General features: G+C 36.9%; 1 protein-coding gene across 14 annotated transcripts in view, besides 1 other annotated feature; it reads right to left on the reverse strand.

Moving 5' to 3' along the window:
• The window catches only part of DOCK7 (dedicator of cytokinesis 7), a 233,661-nt gene that overhangs the window by 73,780 nt on the left and 146,342 nt on the right, over nucleotides 1–13,539 (reverse strand). For all 14 annotated transcript variants that reach the window (XM_047432967.1, NM_001272001.2, NM_001272000.2 and 11 more), the window contains 5 exons: nucleotides 11,247–11,387; nucleotides 11,040–11,153; nucleotides 9,386–9,556; nucleotides 6,988–7,127; nucleotides 772–941 (listed from right to left, as the gene is read on the reverse strand). In XM_047432967.1, the coding sequence (XP_047288923.1) occupies nucleotides 772–941; nucleotides 6,988–7,127; nucleotides 9,386–9,556; nucleotides 11,040–11,153; nucleotides 11,247–11,387 (736 nt within the window). The remainder of the gene's footprint in view (nucleotides 1–771; nucleotides 942–6,987; nucleotides 7,128–9,385; nucleotides 9,557–11,039; nucleotides 11,154–11,246; nucleotides 11,388–13,539) is intronic.
• Nucleotides 2,142–2,350: a silencer, noted in NCBI's record as "fragment chr1:62996318-62996526 (GRCh37/hg19 assembly coordinates)". NCBI's record gives its function as "represses an EF-1alpha promoter that drives an FKBP-Casp9 reporter gene in an ReSE screen in HepG2 liver carcinoma cells {active_cell/tissue: HepG2}" and the evidence as "EXISTENCE:reporter gene assay evidence [ECO:0000049][PMID:32094911]".

Genomic DNA, 13,539 nt, shown 5'->3' on the forward strand with positions numbered 1-13,539 from the left:
TTGCTAGTCAGAAGATGTAAGAATATAAACATTTCTGCCTTCAGGTAAGGAAATTCATTTTAGTGATCAAAATACTTGAAAGACTGCTCAACAATCAGTCTCTTAAGGCAAATAGCTGGTTATCTTTGCAACACCAGCACCTGTCAAAGTTCTTAATACACATTAGATACTCAGGAAATGTTTCTGTTTTACTGAACTGGAAGCTATCGGGCTAATTGCTGGTTTAAATTCCCTCATTTGCCCTAAAGAAAATATTGTTGCAAACTAAATTCTGTATTTAAGTAAATTCTAAATATGGAAAGCAAGAGCAATAAAACTCTGTAGGTTCTAGTTTTGAAGAAGTAATACCACTTCAACTTATTAACCTGGTGTTAGCAATAAACACAATTCCTGATATTCAAGTGAATATTCATTTCAATTTTATATATATGAATCAAGTCAAAACTGAGGTGGTAAACATCTGTCAAGTTTTCTTGTATTTTTTCAGATGTATACTGCATGTTCACACAAACATTTCCTAAAATGTAGGTACAGAATTGCTATAAAATCATTATTTTTAAATTCATCATAAGAACTACTTAAAGCAATCTTATACGGAATTCTCTCACACGGTCAAAGGTTTTCTGGCAATATAGTTTAATATTTATAGTTTACTTTGATCAGCACACAATTCTTATTTTCCTAAAATAAGATCTTCATCCTTGAGATATTTTCTAACACTTTTAAACATTGAGCTTTGCCTTTAATATTTGCCTTAATTATACTAGGTACCTGTAAAATCATACAGCTGAGGTACAGTTTCCATGATAATACCAATCAGAGGTAGATACAACATGGCCACTCGAGCCTTTATCTGAGGGTCAGAGTACCGCGGGTCTGAGTCGTGACTGGAGAGTAAATTGTGTACCATATTGATGACTTTCTTATGCAATCCAAACAGTCTATTTAAAAAGAAGAAGACAAAGAAGAAAAAGCAGTAAGGCCACAGAGATTAGCTAACATCTTTAAAACAAACAGTAAGTCATGGTATTGAATAAATTTTGTTCAATTTCTTACCTTTGTCATATATTTGCATGCATTCCATTCCTATAAAACATTTCTCATTTTAAAATAAATGTATAAAAATGTAAAAAATGTGTAAAATAAGAATTGAAGAAAAGGAAATGCTATACAAATTCACTTAGAAGTAAATCTGAATATTTTTACATTAACTCCTTATTAGTGTATTTGAATATAAAGAAACTAAGACTACTTATAGTTACATTTTGAAGCTAAACAAGGTAAATTTTAAAATGCTGTAATTGTTATTTCATCAAATCAGATCTTTTCACATTTACCAAAAATAAATTATTCCCTTTTTCGGAAAGAAAAATCCCCTACCTAATGGATTATGTAGCCCACAGGCTGGGGTTGCCTTTGACATCTCTATTTAAACTGCACTTCTTTACTAATATACCTCATTTGGGTCCTTACAACTTTTTTAGACTCTCAATCCCCCTCAGTTTCAAATGGGCTAATACACTAACAAGGGTCACTTTCACTTAAACATTTTTGTCTCTTCTTAAGCTGACAGCACTTTAACTATGCAAACCATTCTAATTTAAAATTCATCTACTCCAACTTTAACTGGCCCTTAATGCTGCATCCACTAAGCAGTTTCAGATCTCACTCTCTCTCCTTAAGCCTTTTACTGTCAATCACAACAGAAGACCTTACTTCCAACTTAGGAAAGAAGAGCCATTCTGAATTTGCTCTGGCCAGGTCTTTTAACACAATTCCATCTTTATAGCTCACAAAGAGTCTTTCCTTTTTGTCTCAGAAAAAGTGTACCTTCTCACAGAAAATAATTTCTTCATATGTTCAATGAACCCTGTCTTTTTTCAACAGCTTCAATGTCTCCCCTCATTAGGTTCTTCCCTTCTTTCTTCAAATATGCCTTTCCTATCTTGAAAATACATCATCACTTTAAAAAGTTGAGATTAGAAAACAGGTAGTCTTCTCCCAGAGCCCTTGATTGTATCTGCCATTTTACAAAGCTGTATGTGAAATCTAGATGGAGATTCTTTCTTCTTTCTTCCAGCTCTTTAATCATAAAGTATACTTTTATAGAGGCTTAAAACACATGAAAGCAAACAGCTGAGAGATGGCCACACACTCAGACTACAACATCCAGAAAGAGTCTGCCTGCACTTGGTGCTTTGCCCGTGAGGTGGCACCAATGGGCCTTGCCTGCACCAGCTCGCTCAGAAACACAACTGCGACAAGATGATCTGCCTCAAGGGTTATGCTCACCTGCATCCCTGTGCCGTAACTGCCGCAAGAAGTACAGCCACAAAACATGCTGTGCCCCCAAAAGAAGGTCAAATAAGACACCTCCCCTGGCTCCTCCTTCTCCCACTGGGTGGCCTCCTGCCCAAGCCCCATGGCCCTGGGGCCTCAATAATGTTTCCCTTTTACTGACTAGTGGGTATAGGGAGGGTCGGTGGGTGGAAAGTATACATTTAAACATTGTCAAGAACCACATCTAGTGAACCTATCTCAGATCTCATTCTCCAGCTCCACTTGACACTTTGTCACCTTATATATTCTCTTCTCAGGATTTTCTCCAGTAGTTCCCACCTTCCCCAGATTCCTCATCATTATTCTCAAGGCTTAGATTCTCGCCAATTGCTTTTCACGTTCTCCTCTTTGACTTTCTGTATCAGCACTAATGTTTGCCAAAGGTATGCCTTATCTCTCAGCAGCTACCATACTCATACTCCAATCTATATAAACTCTATCCACTTGTCTTCATAAAGCCTTTTCATATGCTTACATTGCTCAATCCCATTGTTATTAAATATATATTAATACAAGATCTGTAATATCCTATTCTAGATGTTGAAGATAAAGACATTCCCCATTTTTAAGTGGCTCACTTTAGCAAGAGAGAAACACGGACACAAACATAATAATTCTTCAATACTTCAAATAATTCTTCAATTCTTTATAAATGCTACAATTAAGGAACATAAATCCTCTCATCTTCTAAAGAACCATGTACTACAAAACTAACATTTAATCATAGTGTACTGTTTTGCAGTCTTAACTTTCTAATTACAATGAAAGTTTCTAAAGAGCAAATCTTTCATTAATTATAGAACATATTATTGCCACTTAAGGAATTATTCTTGATTACGTAGCAAGCATGTGGATTAAAAGACAAACATTCCTCTCAAGGATCTCTCCAAGACAATGCTGCATATAATCTATATACCTCCCAAGACAGTAAAATTTAAAGATGAGATATGAGTTTCTTACAGTTAATCCTTCATTCATCAAATTAACATACATTAGCAAGTGTCCACTTTGTGCCAGACATAATACTAAGGCACTGGGAATACAGCACTGAACAAGAAAGACAAGGTGCCTGTTCTCATGCTCTCACATGCTCACATTCTACTGGGAGAGGACAGATCATAAACAAGCAAATTTCAGATAAGTGCCTTGTAGAAACTAAAACAGGGTTACATGGCTGAGAATGATTGTGACAAGGACAACATGGCTGTTATTTATGAGACAGAGTCTTGCTCTGTTGTCTAGGCTGTGGCGTGATGTTGGCTCACTGTAACCTCCGCCTCCCAGCTTCAAGTGATTCTCATGCCTCAGCCTCCCGAGTAGCTGGGATTAGAGGCAAGCACCACCATGCCCAAGTAATTTTTGTATTTTTAGTAGAGATGGGGTTTTACTATGTTGGCCAGGCTGGTCTCAAACTCCTGACCTCAAGTGATCCACCCATCTCAGCCTCCCAAAGTGCTGAGATTGTAGGTGTGAGCCACCATGCCAGGCCTATTTATTTATTTAATTTTCTTGAGACAGGGTCTCACTCTGTCACCCAGGCTGGAATACAGTGGTGTGATCATTGCAGCCTTGACCTCTTGGACTTAAGTGATCCTCCCTCCTCAGCCTCCTGAGTAGCTGGGACTATAGGTATGCACCACCATGTACGGCTAATTAAAAAAATTTTTTTGGTACAGACAGGGTCTCACTATGTTGCCTAGGCTGGTGTTGAACTCCTGGACTCAAGCAGTCCTCCTGCCTCAGCCTCGCAAAGTGTTGGGATTACAGGCATGAGCCTCTGTGCCTGGCCAATATGGCTGTAATTTAGGTTAGGTGGTCAATGAAAATCTCACTGAGAAGATGCTGTTTGAACAGATACCTGAAGAACCACAAGCAAGAAATGACTATGTGAACATCTGAGGGCTGTTCAACATTGCTTCAAGAGGAGAAAAATCCAAGTGCAAAGGCCTGAAGGTGGGAATGAGCTTGGTGCATTAGAGAAACAGAAAGTAGGCCAGCATGGCTAGATCTTAGTATATGAGGAGGAAGAGAGTGGCAGGAGTAGACAAGAGCCAGATACACAGGGCCTTAAGAACCTATATATGGCAACTATATGCAAGACTATCTTGCAGTCATGAGAGGCTCCAGCCTTAGGATAAAGCTGACACTTCTAGCAGAGGTAAGAAATGTAAAGAACTGGAATCATGATGGTATCACTGAGCTGATGATATTACTGTGCTAAAAACCTATCTTTCTGGGGGTTTATCCGTTCGGAGCCCCCCCTCCCTCTATATCAGGCAGCCGTTTTCTTATTTCTTTCCTCTTTCTTGCCTATTAAACTTTCTGCTCCTTAAAACCAAAAATAATAAATAATAAATAATAAAAATCCTATCTTTCTTCCAATTTTGAAATAGTAAATTTCCTTCCTTTAATAAAGCCAGCTGGAGGAAGAATTTTCTATTTATTGTAACCAAAAACAGGTTCACATACCAAGTAAAAATATTGAAAATACAGATTCAAATGAGTGAGCTATACCAGTTATTTTAAAAAGCTAGTATGTTTAGGTAAGTTGTTTTTAGAGTGTTTTTTCCCCAAATAACAGATTCCTTTATTTATTTTTTTTAATGACATCACAGTCATTTGTCAAATGGCAAAATACAAAAGTGGCGCCAAGCAGGGGTGGAAGGCCCAGAGTTTCACCCATTTAGTTTGCCCTCTCTATACTCCAAAGTCTGCACACACACTGCCCACCCCAATCTACACAGAAACCCATTAAGCACCTCTTCAGGACCCTACAGTTCTGTTTAGAACACAGGGTGAAAAACTACTTCTTTAAAATAGATTCCAAACTTAGGAAGTTGCCATTATAAAAAACACATGTCTTTCACTTGCAGATCTGGCCTTTCACAATTTATTCGGTATTGACTATGCCCCTGACATACTGCTAAGAACTTGACATACCTCCTCTTTTATTCATTCAATAAATATATCAGCAGAACCTTGTAAAAACCTATTTAAAGTATCTCTTTTCGTTCTTGCATGAGGCTAAACTGCATTATAAACTTGGATTATTCCTACTACAAAAAAAAAATTTTAAGCCATTATCACCCAAATGAGTTATGGTCATACTATTAAGATGGACATACCTCATATGGGATGCTGGACCACAACACATCAAGCTTTTTTTTTTTTGAGATGAAGTCTTGCTCTATCACCCAGGATGGAGTGCAGTGGTGTGATCTTGGCTTACTGCAACCTCTGCCTCCCGGATTCAAGCAGTTCTCATGCTCCAGCCTCCCGAGCAGCTGGGATTACAGACATGAGCCACCATGTGTGGCTAATGTTTGATATTTTTAGTAGAGATGGAGTTTCACCATGTCAGCCAGGCTGGTCTCGAACTCCTGACCTCAAGTGATCTGACTGTCTCAGCATCCCAAAGTGCTGGGATTACAGGTGTGAGCCACTGCACCTGGCTACATTAAGCTACTTCTATAAATTCAAATCATTAGGTCGGTGCAGTGGCTCACGCCTGTAATCCTAGCATGCTGGGAGGCCGAGGCGGGCTGATCACTCGAGGCCAGGAGTTGGGAGACCAGCCTGGCCAACATGGCAAAACCCCATTTCTACTAAAATTACAAAAATTAGCCGGGAGTGGTGGCACGCGCCTGTAGTCCCAACTACTCAGAAGGCTGAGGCAGAAGAATTGCTTGAGCCTGGGAGGCAGAGGTTACAGCAGGCTGAAATCATGCCACTGTTGTCCACCCTGGGTGAGGGTGACAGAGTGAGACCTATTCTCAAAAAAACAAAACAAACAAACAAACAAAAATCACATCATCAGACAATATACTTTTCTAACTACATCAATTTCCAAACATCCTTTAATAATGTACACAACTTTGGAAGTTTTTAAAACCTAAAGATATTTGTTTATAGGGCAATTTTTGAAATAAAATGCTACATAGTATGATGGCAAATTATAAATTTTTGGCCAGGTGCAGTGGCTCACACCTGTAATCCCAGCACTTTGGGAGGCTGAGGTGGTGATCACTTGAGGTCAGGAGTTTGAGACCAGCCTGGACAACATGGTGAAACCCCATCTCTACTACAAAAAGAAAAATTAGCTGGGTGTGGTGACGTGTGCCTGTAGTCCCAGCTTTGGGAGGCTGAGGCAGGAGAATTGCTTGAACCCAGAAGGCAGAGGTTGCAGTGAGCTGAGATCCTGCCACTGCACTCCAGCCCGGGTGACAGAGCAAGACTCTGCCTCAAACAAACACACAAAAAAAGATAAATTTTCCTGACAAGGAATCAAATAAAAGACCATTTTCCTCAAATGACAAGCATTTACTTTACATCAAAAAATCTATCTACTAATATGCATAATTTATTTTATATATTATTAAGAAGAAAAAGAACACTACTAAATGAATTATGATACGCCACCAATTTTAAGACAAATCCCAAATTCAGAGGTGACAAAATATGAGAAAAAGTCTTTCATAAAACTGATTAAACAGATAAATAATATAAGTGAGAAACTTAGTGAAGAGGGAAGTAGAAAAAGAGTGTGAAAGATTATTCTCCTAATCCTCAGGAAATGTGAGTGGAATACTTCTGTCCACTGTTCAAAATCAAACTCATATTCTACAAGGTAAAAACTAGTGTACTCACCCTTCAGCATCAGGGTCTAAAATGACAGCCAGCTCTGTTAACACAAGTCCTGCCAAATAATGCTGTTGGCGGAAAGGCACGGATAATTCAAACATATTTGCAATCTTTTGGTCTTGTACATTCGTAGAAAATCCAGAACTCTGTTGGAAAGTGAGGCAGAACAAGACTATAACAGCAGTGCAACAAAGCATCCTACAGACAGAGCAATATAAGAAATGAAATACTTTTTCCCAGGGTAGTTTATTTTATATTACTAACACTGAAGACAAAGCAACTTTTCAGACTTTTGGGACAGGAAACTATGATGAGATTGCTTTATTAAGTTAATTACTTTATTATAGAAATTAATCATTGAAAATTTAATTATTTTACATTTCTTTTTTCACATATACTTTCCTACATATTTTCCCCTTTATTCTCTTAGCCACTTTTCAATACCACACTCTGATGGAAAAAAGAAGCAACTAAATCCAAATGACATAGTATGCACTTACCCCAAAGTACAAGAGAAATATTCATAGTCAAGGCTATTGGTTTCCAGAGAAATTCGAAACACCAGTACAATTGTTTTTCACAGAATATACTATCTCTGGAAAATTACCATCATTTTGTTGTCTGAGTTTTTTTTTTAACATCTTAATACTTCAAAATATTATAGCATTCTCCAAGATACAGTCCATATTCAGGACTCATGTGGGGTTTCTTAGTGCAACAATAGATTTCACATTTCTCTATGGCGAAATCTTCTCCTAATAAGAATATAAAACTCTTCTTAGCCTTTCAAAAAAGAGTGATGTCTCTGTTATCTGAAAGAATCTGAAAATTACATAGCTAGCTGAGAAAGTGGGCAACAAGATAACAGAAGAAATTCTATGAGCATTTCCTGGCTGAAAGAGATGTTCAGTAAGGAATTAGATATAAACAAATATGTTTCCTTAAGGGTGTTAGCAACCATATTTATGATTAATCTGTCTTTGTGTAGCTACATCTTTGGCAGAGGACAGGGAAAGAAAGAAAAAGGCCAGCCTCATCCATTAGATTAAGGGCATGCTAGCCAGACTGAAGAGTTTGTGGAAAAATAGGCTGATCCAGAAGATTTTTTTACAGAGATAAAATGAAAAGTTGTGGGTACTCTTTGATGTTTTCTAGTCTTTCTAGCTGAAGTTTAAATTTTGTTTTTTAAATCACGCATATGAGATATCACCTACAGAATCCTATTCAGGAATTAAATATATTGAAAACAAAATTAAGAAGTATTAAGATTAACTAACTTTCACTTTAGAAATTAAGAGCTTAAAAAAAGTAGCCTCCTTGCCTCAGGAATAATACAGTAGAACGAGTATTTCACTGGACAAAGGAAAATATAGGCTTCTCTGATACTAAAACCACAAAATCTCTTCATCTCAATTTATAAAAGAGGACATACATATTAACTGCTACAATAACACTTTTTCATCTACAGAGAACCTACTAGCTGTTGAAGTCAAGTGCCACCCACTGAAAAACCCATCAATTTTCATCTGGTTTCCTTTGGGGTTTCTGGATACAAGAGAGTTAAGCAGGGCTTTGTCATGCCTCCACTGCAGTTTGACTTCTTTCTCTGTTCAATTATGCTTCATCCCCCACTTCCTTTCACAGGTATTGATCTCTAAAACACATCTTGCATTTGAAACTCATTCTTGGTGTCTGCTTCAAGAGAACTCAATTTGTGAAAACATCTTAATTAGTAAGTTTATTTAGGTGAATTCATTCACATGTGCATTAAGTCTATGAAAGGAATATAAAACAGTGGTTAAGAACTTGGGCTCGGCCGGGAGCGGTGGTTCATGCCTGTAATCCCAGCACTTTTGAGAGGCCGAGGCCGGCAGATCAAGAGGTCAAGAGATTGAGACCATCCTGGACAACCAACATGGTGAAACCCCGTCTCTACTAAAAATACAAAAATTAGCTGGGCATAGTGGCGCACGTCTGTAGTCCCAGCTACTCAGGAGGCTGAAGCAGGAGAATCGCTTGAACCCCAGAGGCGGAAGTTGCAGTGAGCCGAGATCGCACCACTGCACTCCAGCCTGGGAGAAACAGCAAGACTCTGTCTCAAAAAAAAAAAAAAAAAAAGAACTTGGGCTCTAAAATAAAGCCTTGGTTCAAAACCTGGCTCTGCCACTTTTTACTCAGTGACCTTTCTGTGTTTCTGTTTTTCTAACCTGCAAAATGGGTATAATAACAGAACTTGCCTTTTTAGAGTTATTCTGAGGATTAAATGACTTTTAATACTTACAAAGCACTAAGAACTGAGCCTATCATACAGCTGTTATTCAATAAGTGTTATTTTTTCCATTGTTTAAAACTATTCTTCACAAAAGTGACTTTAAATATATGTATATTCACACAATTTGCATACCTGAGATGTTGCAGAAGAAACAGAAGGTGATGGAGATGCAGGTGGAGTAAGTAAGCTGCAGGGTAAGTTTAATGTAACATAGTGCTCATGACTGCAGATGATTCGTAGAAAATCCAGCCTCAAGGACACCAGAACACTGGGATTCGGTAATGAGTAAAGCTTTGAAGACACCTTGTAAGCAATGCATAAGTAAGAGAACACCAATTGAATCTATTATTTCTTTAATACTAATACCAGAATGGCAAATTAGAATTAAAGAGATAGTACTTGGTATCCAGTTTGGGTTTTGTGGCTTAAGTAGCAGTATCACCTTTTTCCAGAGTTACTGCTAAAATTAAAAATTTTAAACTATCAGGTTTACTGTATAAACATATTTGACTAACCTAAAAGCCACATTCTTGTATTTCCAATATAGCATCAATATTTCTACTTCTCATAAAACAGGGAAAACGTATATCACCAAAAATAACTTCTTATTACTTCCTTCTTAAAAGAAATTATCAATTCTTTTTATAGCACTTTGTGCTTACCTGTATTTATAATTTGTCTGTTTTCTCAGCAACATCATAAGCTACTTGAGGAGACATACTATAAACTGATTTAACAGCTTTAGTGTCCCTACAGCTTAGCTCAATGTTTGACAAATATAGGAGATCAATGCTTAAAGAATAAAGACAGGACAAGTTCTGGTAGCAATAGTACATAAAGTTTTGGGGGAAAGGTAAAAATGATACATATCGTGTTGCAAGTATTTCCATGTGGGTGAGTGCCCATGCATAGTTTTAACTTTTCTATTAGAAGAAATAAACAATAAAGGCATCCAATAGAATATTCAAAATTCTAAATATTAGACTGCCAAATAGAATTCTGGACTATTAGTTCCCTAAAACTAATCTGTAGACCAGTTGTGAGGTGCTTCACAAGCACTGTGTGCTCCTCATCCCCACCACCATAAGTTTGAACTTCTCAATAATTCTGGGATGGGACTCAGAAATATGTATATTTTTAAAGCTCCTTTAAAAGGTAATTCTGAAAGGCTTATACAGTTTACTACCAAAGTGGCCCAGCAGAACCAATAACTAATGTTTTCTAGAAGGCAGACTTCACTAATCAGTTGATAAAAATTTTAAAACAAAATCAGCTATGTTTGGAAAAGTTCCAGGATGCTTTTAATTTCGTAAAGTCAAGATAATGAACATATGGCAAATGGGTAAACATCCATAATTCCAAACTCTACAATGTCCAGGGCTGGATTAGGAGGAATACCCAGCAAAATGCAGTTGCTTTAAAAATCACTCAAGATACAGAAGTCCACTCGGTATAAATGCTCCACTTGCATGACATCTTGAGACTGCTTTACATTACTACTGACTTGATAGTATGATCCAGAATGAGGATTAAAGAGTCATGAGTAGGCCAGTATAACTCAAGGAAATACTGGCTGTACTGATAACAGCTTGCCACAGTCCTTGTGTCCTGATAAAACATGTGTAATTTACTTTTGCCTTGCTAATAAAAATATGTTACTTTGGCTACTTTTTGTTTTAACATCAGTATATAAATGTGCTCTTAAGGTCTCTTAGCTCTAACTTTGAAAAGAACTAACATAGTATTTAAATTATTTGATTACTAATTATTCCTAACTATGCATTACCTGTTTATAGCAGGACTTTATAAGGCTAAAAACAAATCCTCTGTCCATAACAGACAACAGATCATTGAGAAAGAATGCAAGGCTTGTATTGAGTCTCTCAACCATTTCTGTGTCCTGTGAAACAGAATATAAAACAAAAACAAATTAAAGTATGATAGCTTAATCTGAGCTTGAAAGAGAGATAAGTGGGGAAAAAGTTATCATTACCTTCTGAAATCGTGAAACTATATCACTAGCAATCGTGCTGACAAGAGCTGCAATGTCATCCATGAAACGTTCTGGAAAACGACTTTTCCTTGGAGCCTCAAGTTTATCATTAAAGTATAAATGGTGCACCATGCTCTTTACCTGAAAAAAAGATATAAATTATTAATTTCCTATGAATATATTTAACAATTACAACAACTCTAAACACTTGGACTATTTTTAAAATATGGCATGTAATTTAATAGATGACTGAAATATTTTTAGCTTCTCAAATATTTTTTAAAGTTCCCTACAATGTTTTGTATTTGCTTAAAATAAAATAAAAAAACCACCATATTACTTTCAGAAAATTATGCTAGCTAACAATAGGACAAAAAAATTCTGTGTATGTCAACAAAAAAAAATTTCAACCTTTAAATTTTTTTTTTTTTTCCAATAAAAAAACAGGGTCTCACTCTGTCACACAGGCTGGAGTACAGTGGCATGATCACAGCTCACTGCAGCCTCCAACTCCTGGGCTCATGTGATTTGCCTGCCTCAGCCTCCTGAGTAGCTAGGACTACAGGTGCACACTACCATGCCCAGCTAATTTTAAAAATTTTATAGAGACAGGGTCTGGCTGTGTTGCCCAGGCTGGTCTCAAACTCCTGGCCTCAAGTGTTTCCTCTGCCTCGGCCTCTCAAAATGTTGGGATTACAGGCATGTAATCTATCACATCCAGCCAAAAAAAGTTTAATTAAATTTTTCCAAGACTCAATAATTTTGCCATTCCAAAGCTCCCAAATTCTAAGCTTTGAAAGGTTAGAAACCCTGTCTTCACTATAGTGTCCTCAGTAGCTAATACACAGATGATAGCATATAGTGGGAATACAATAAATATGAGGACTATATTGTATTGTATTTGTACTGAATATTGTGCAGATTCTTTATTATAACACTGTGGTAATGGTAACAAAGAATTTTAAACTTTAAATTCAGGGAAATTGAAGCTAAAGTCCTAAACTTAATATAGAGCACAGCCAAGTTTTAAATTGCAGTCTTTTGACTATTTTGTATTTTAGAAACCTGAACATATATGTAAGACTACTAAAAAACGGTGAAAATTACAATTTTTACCTTACAGGAGCAGAGATGTACATGAATTACGAATTTAAGGTTTATTTTCTAGGAAAAAAATGAATTGTCACTTATATATAGTCCCTGATTTATTTTTTCTGTAGATTATTAAATCTCTAGAAGAAATGTTTTCTTACCCATAATATAGGTAACATTCAATGCTGAGGACCACCCTATGACATACTCTGGAAGATCCTTTTCTCTTTTTTGTTGTTTTGTTTTATATTTTTTTACATACTTCTTTTTTGGAAGAAAAAGTTTCAGTGATTTCAGCTTTATAGAGGCTGAAGACGAAGGTGAAGAAGACGGTCCCAAGTGCTGAAATGCCTGAGTTTTAATTACAGTCCTGCTACCTACAAGCTGTGCATTCTAAGACAAGTTACTTAACTTCTCTGTGCCTTAGTAATACCTAGGCCACAGGGCAGTACTGGCATATTGTGCCCACTTGATAAATGTTTGTAATGTTTGTTGCCTTTGTTTACATATGTGTGTGTTTACATATACAAGTTTATATGTACAGGTGACCCTTGAACAGCATGGGTTTGAACTGCATGAGTCCACTTATATGTAGGTTTTCTCCCACCTCTGCCACTCCTGAGACAGCAAAACCAACCCCTCCTCTTCAGCCTATTCAATGTGAAGACAATGAGGATGGAGACATTTATGATGATCCACTTCCAATTAATGAAGAGCAAATATATTTTAACTTCCTTATAATTTTCTTAATAACATTTTCTTTTCGCTAGCTTATTCTAAGAACACAGTATATAATATGAATAACATACAAAATATGATTATGTTACCAGTAAGGCATCTGGTCAGCAGTAGGCTATTAGTAGTTAAGTTTTAGGTGAGTCAGAAGTTATATGCAGATTTTGACTGTGTGGGGGAGTCGGTTCCCCTAAACCCCAAGTTGTTCAAGGGTCAACTGTTCATATATATGTATTTATTAATTGAAATATTAATTCACTCATTTTAAAAGTGTCACTTATTTGATTAAGCAAAAAGTACTTAAAAAATTTAAAGAGACAGGATCTTGCTCTGTTATCCATGCGGAGTGCAGTGGTGATCATAGCTGACTGCAGCCTTGAACTTCTGGGCTCAAGCAAGCCTCCCTCCTCAGCCTTCCAAGTAGATGGAACTACAGGTTTGTGCCACCAGGTTTAGCTAATTTAAA

Source organism: Homo sapiens, chromosome 1, assembly GCF_000001405.40.
Source record: "Homo sapiens chromosome 1, GRCh38.p14 Primary Assembly".
Classification (NCBI taxonomy): Eukaryota; Metazoa; Chordata; class Mammalia; order Primates; family Hominidae; genus Homo; species Homo sapiens.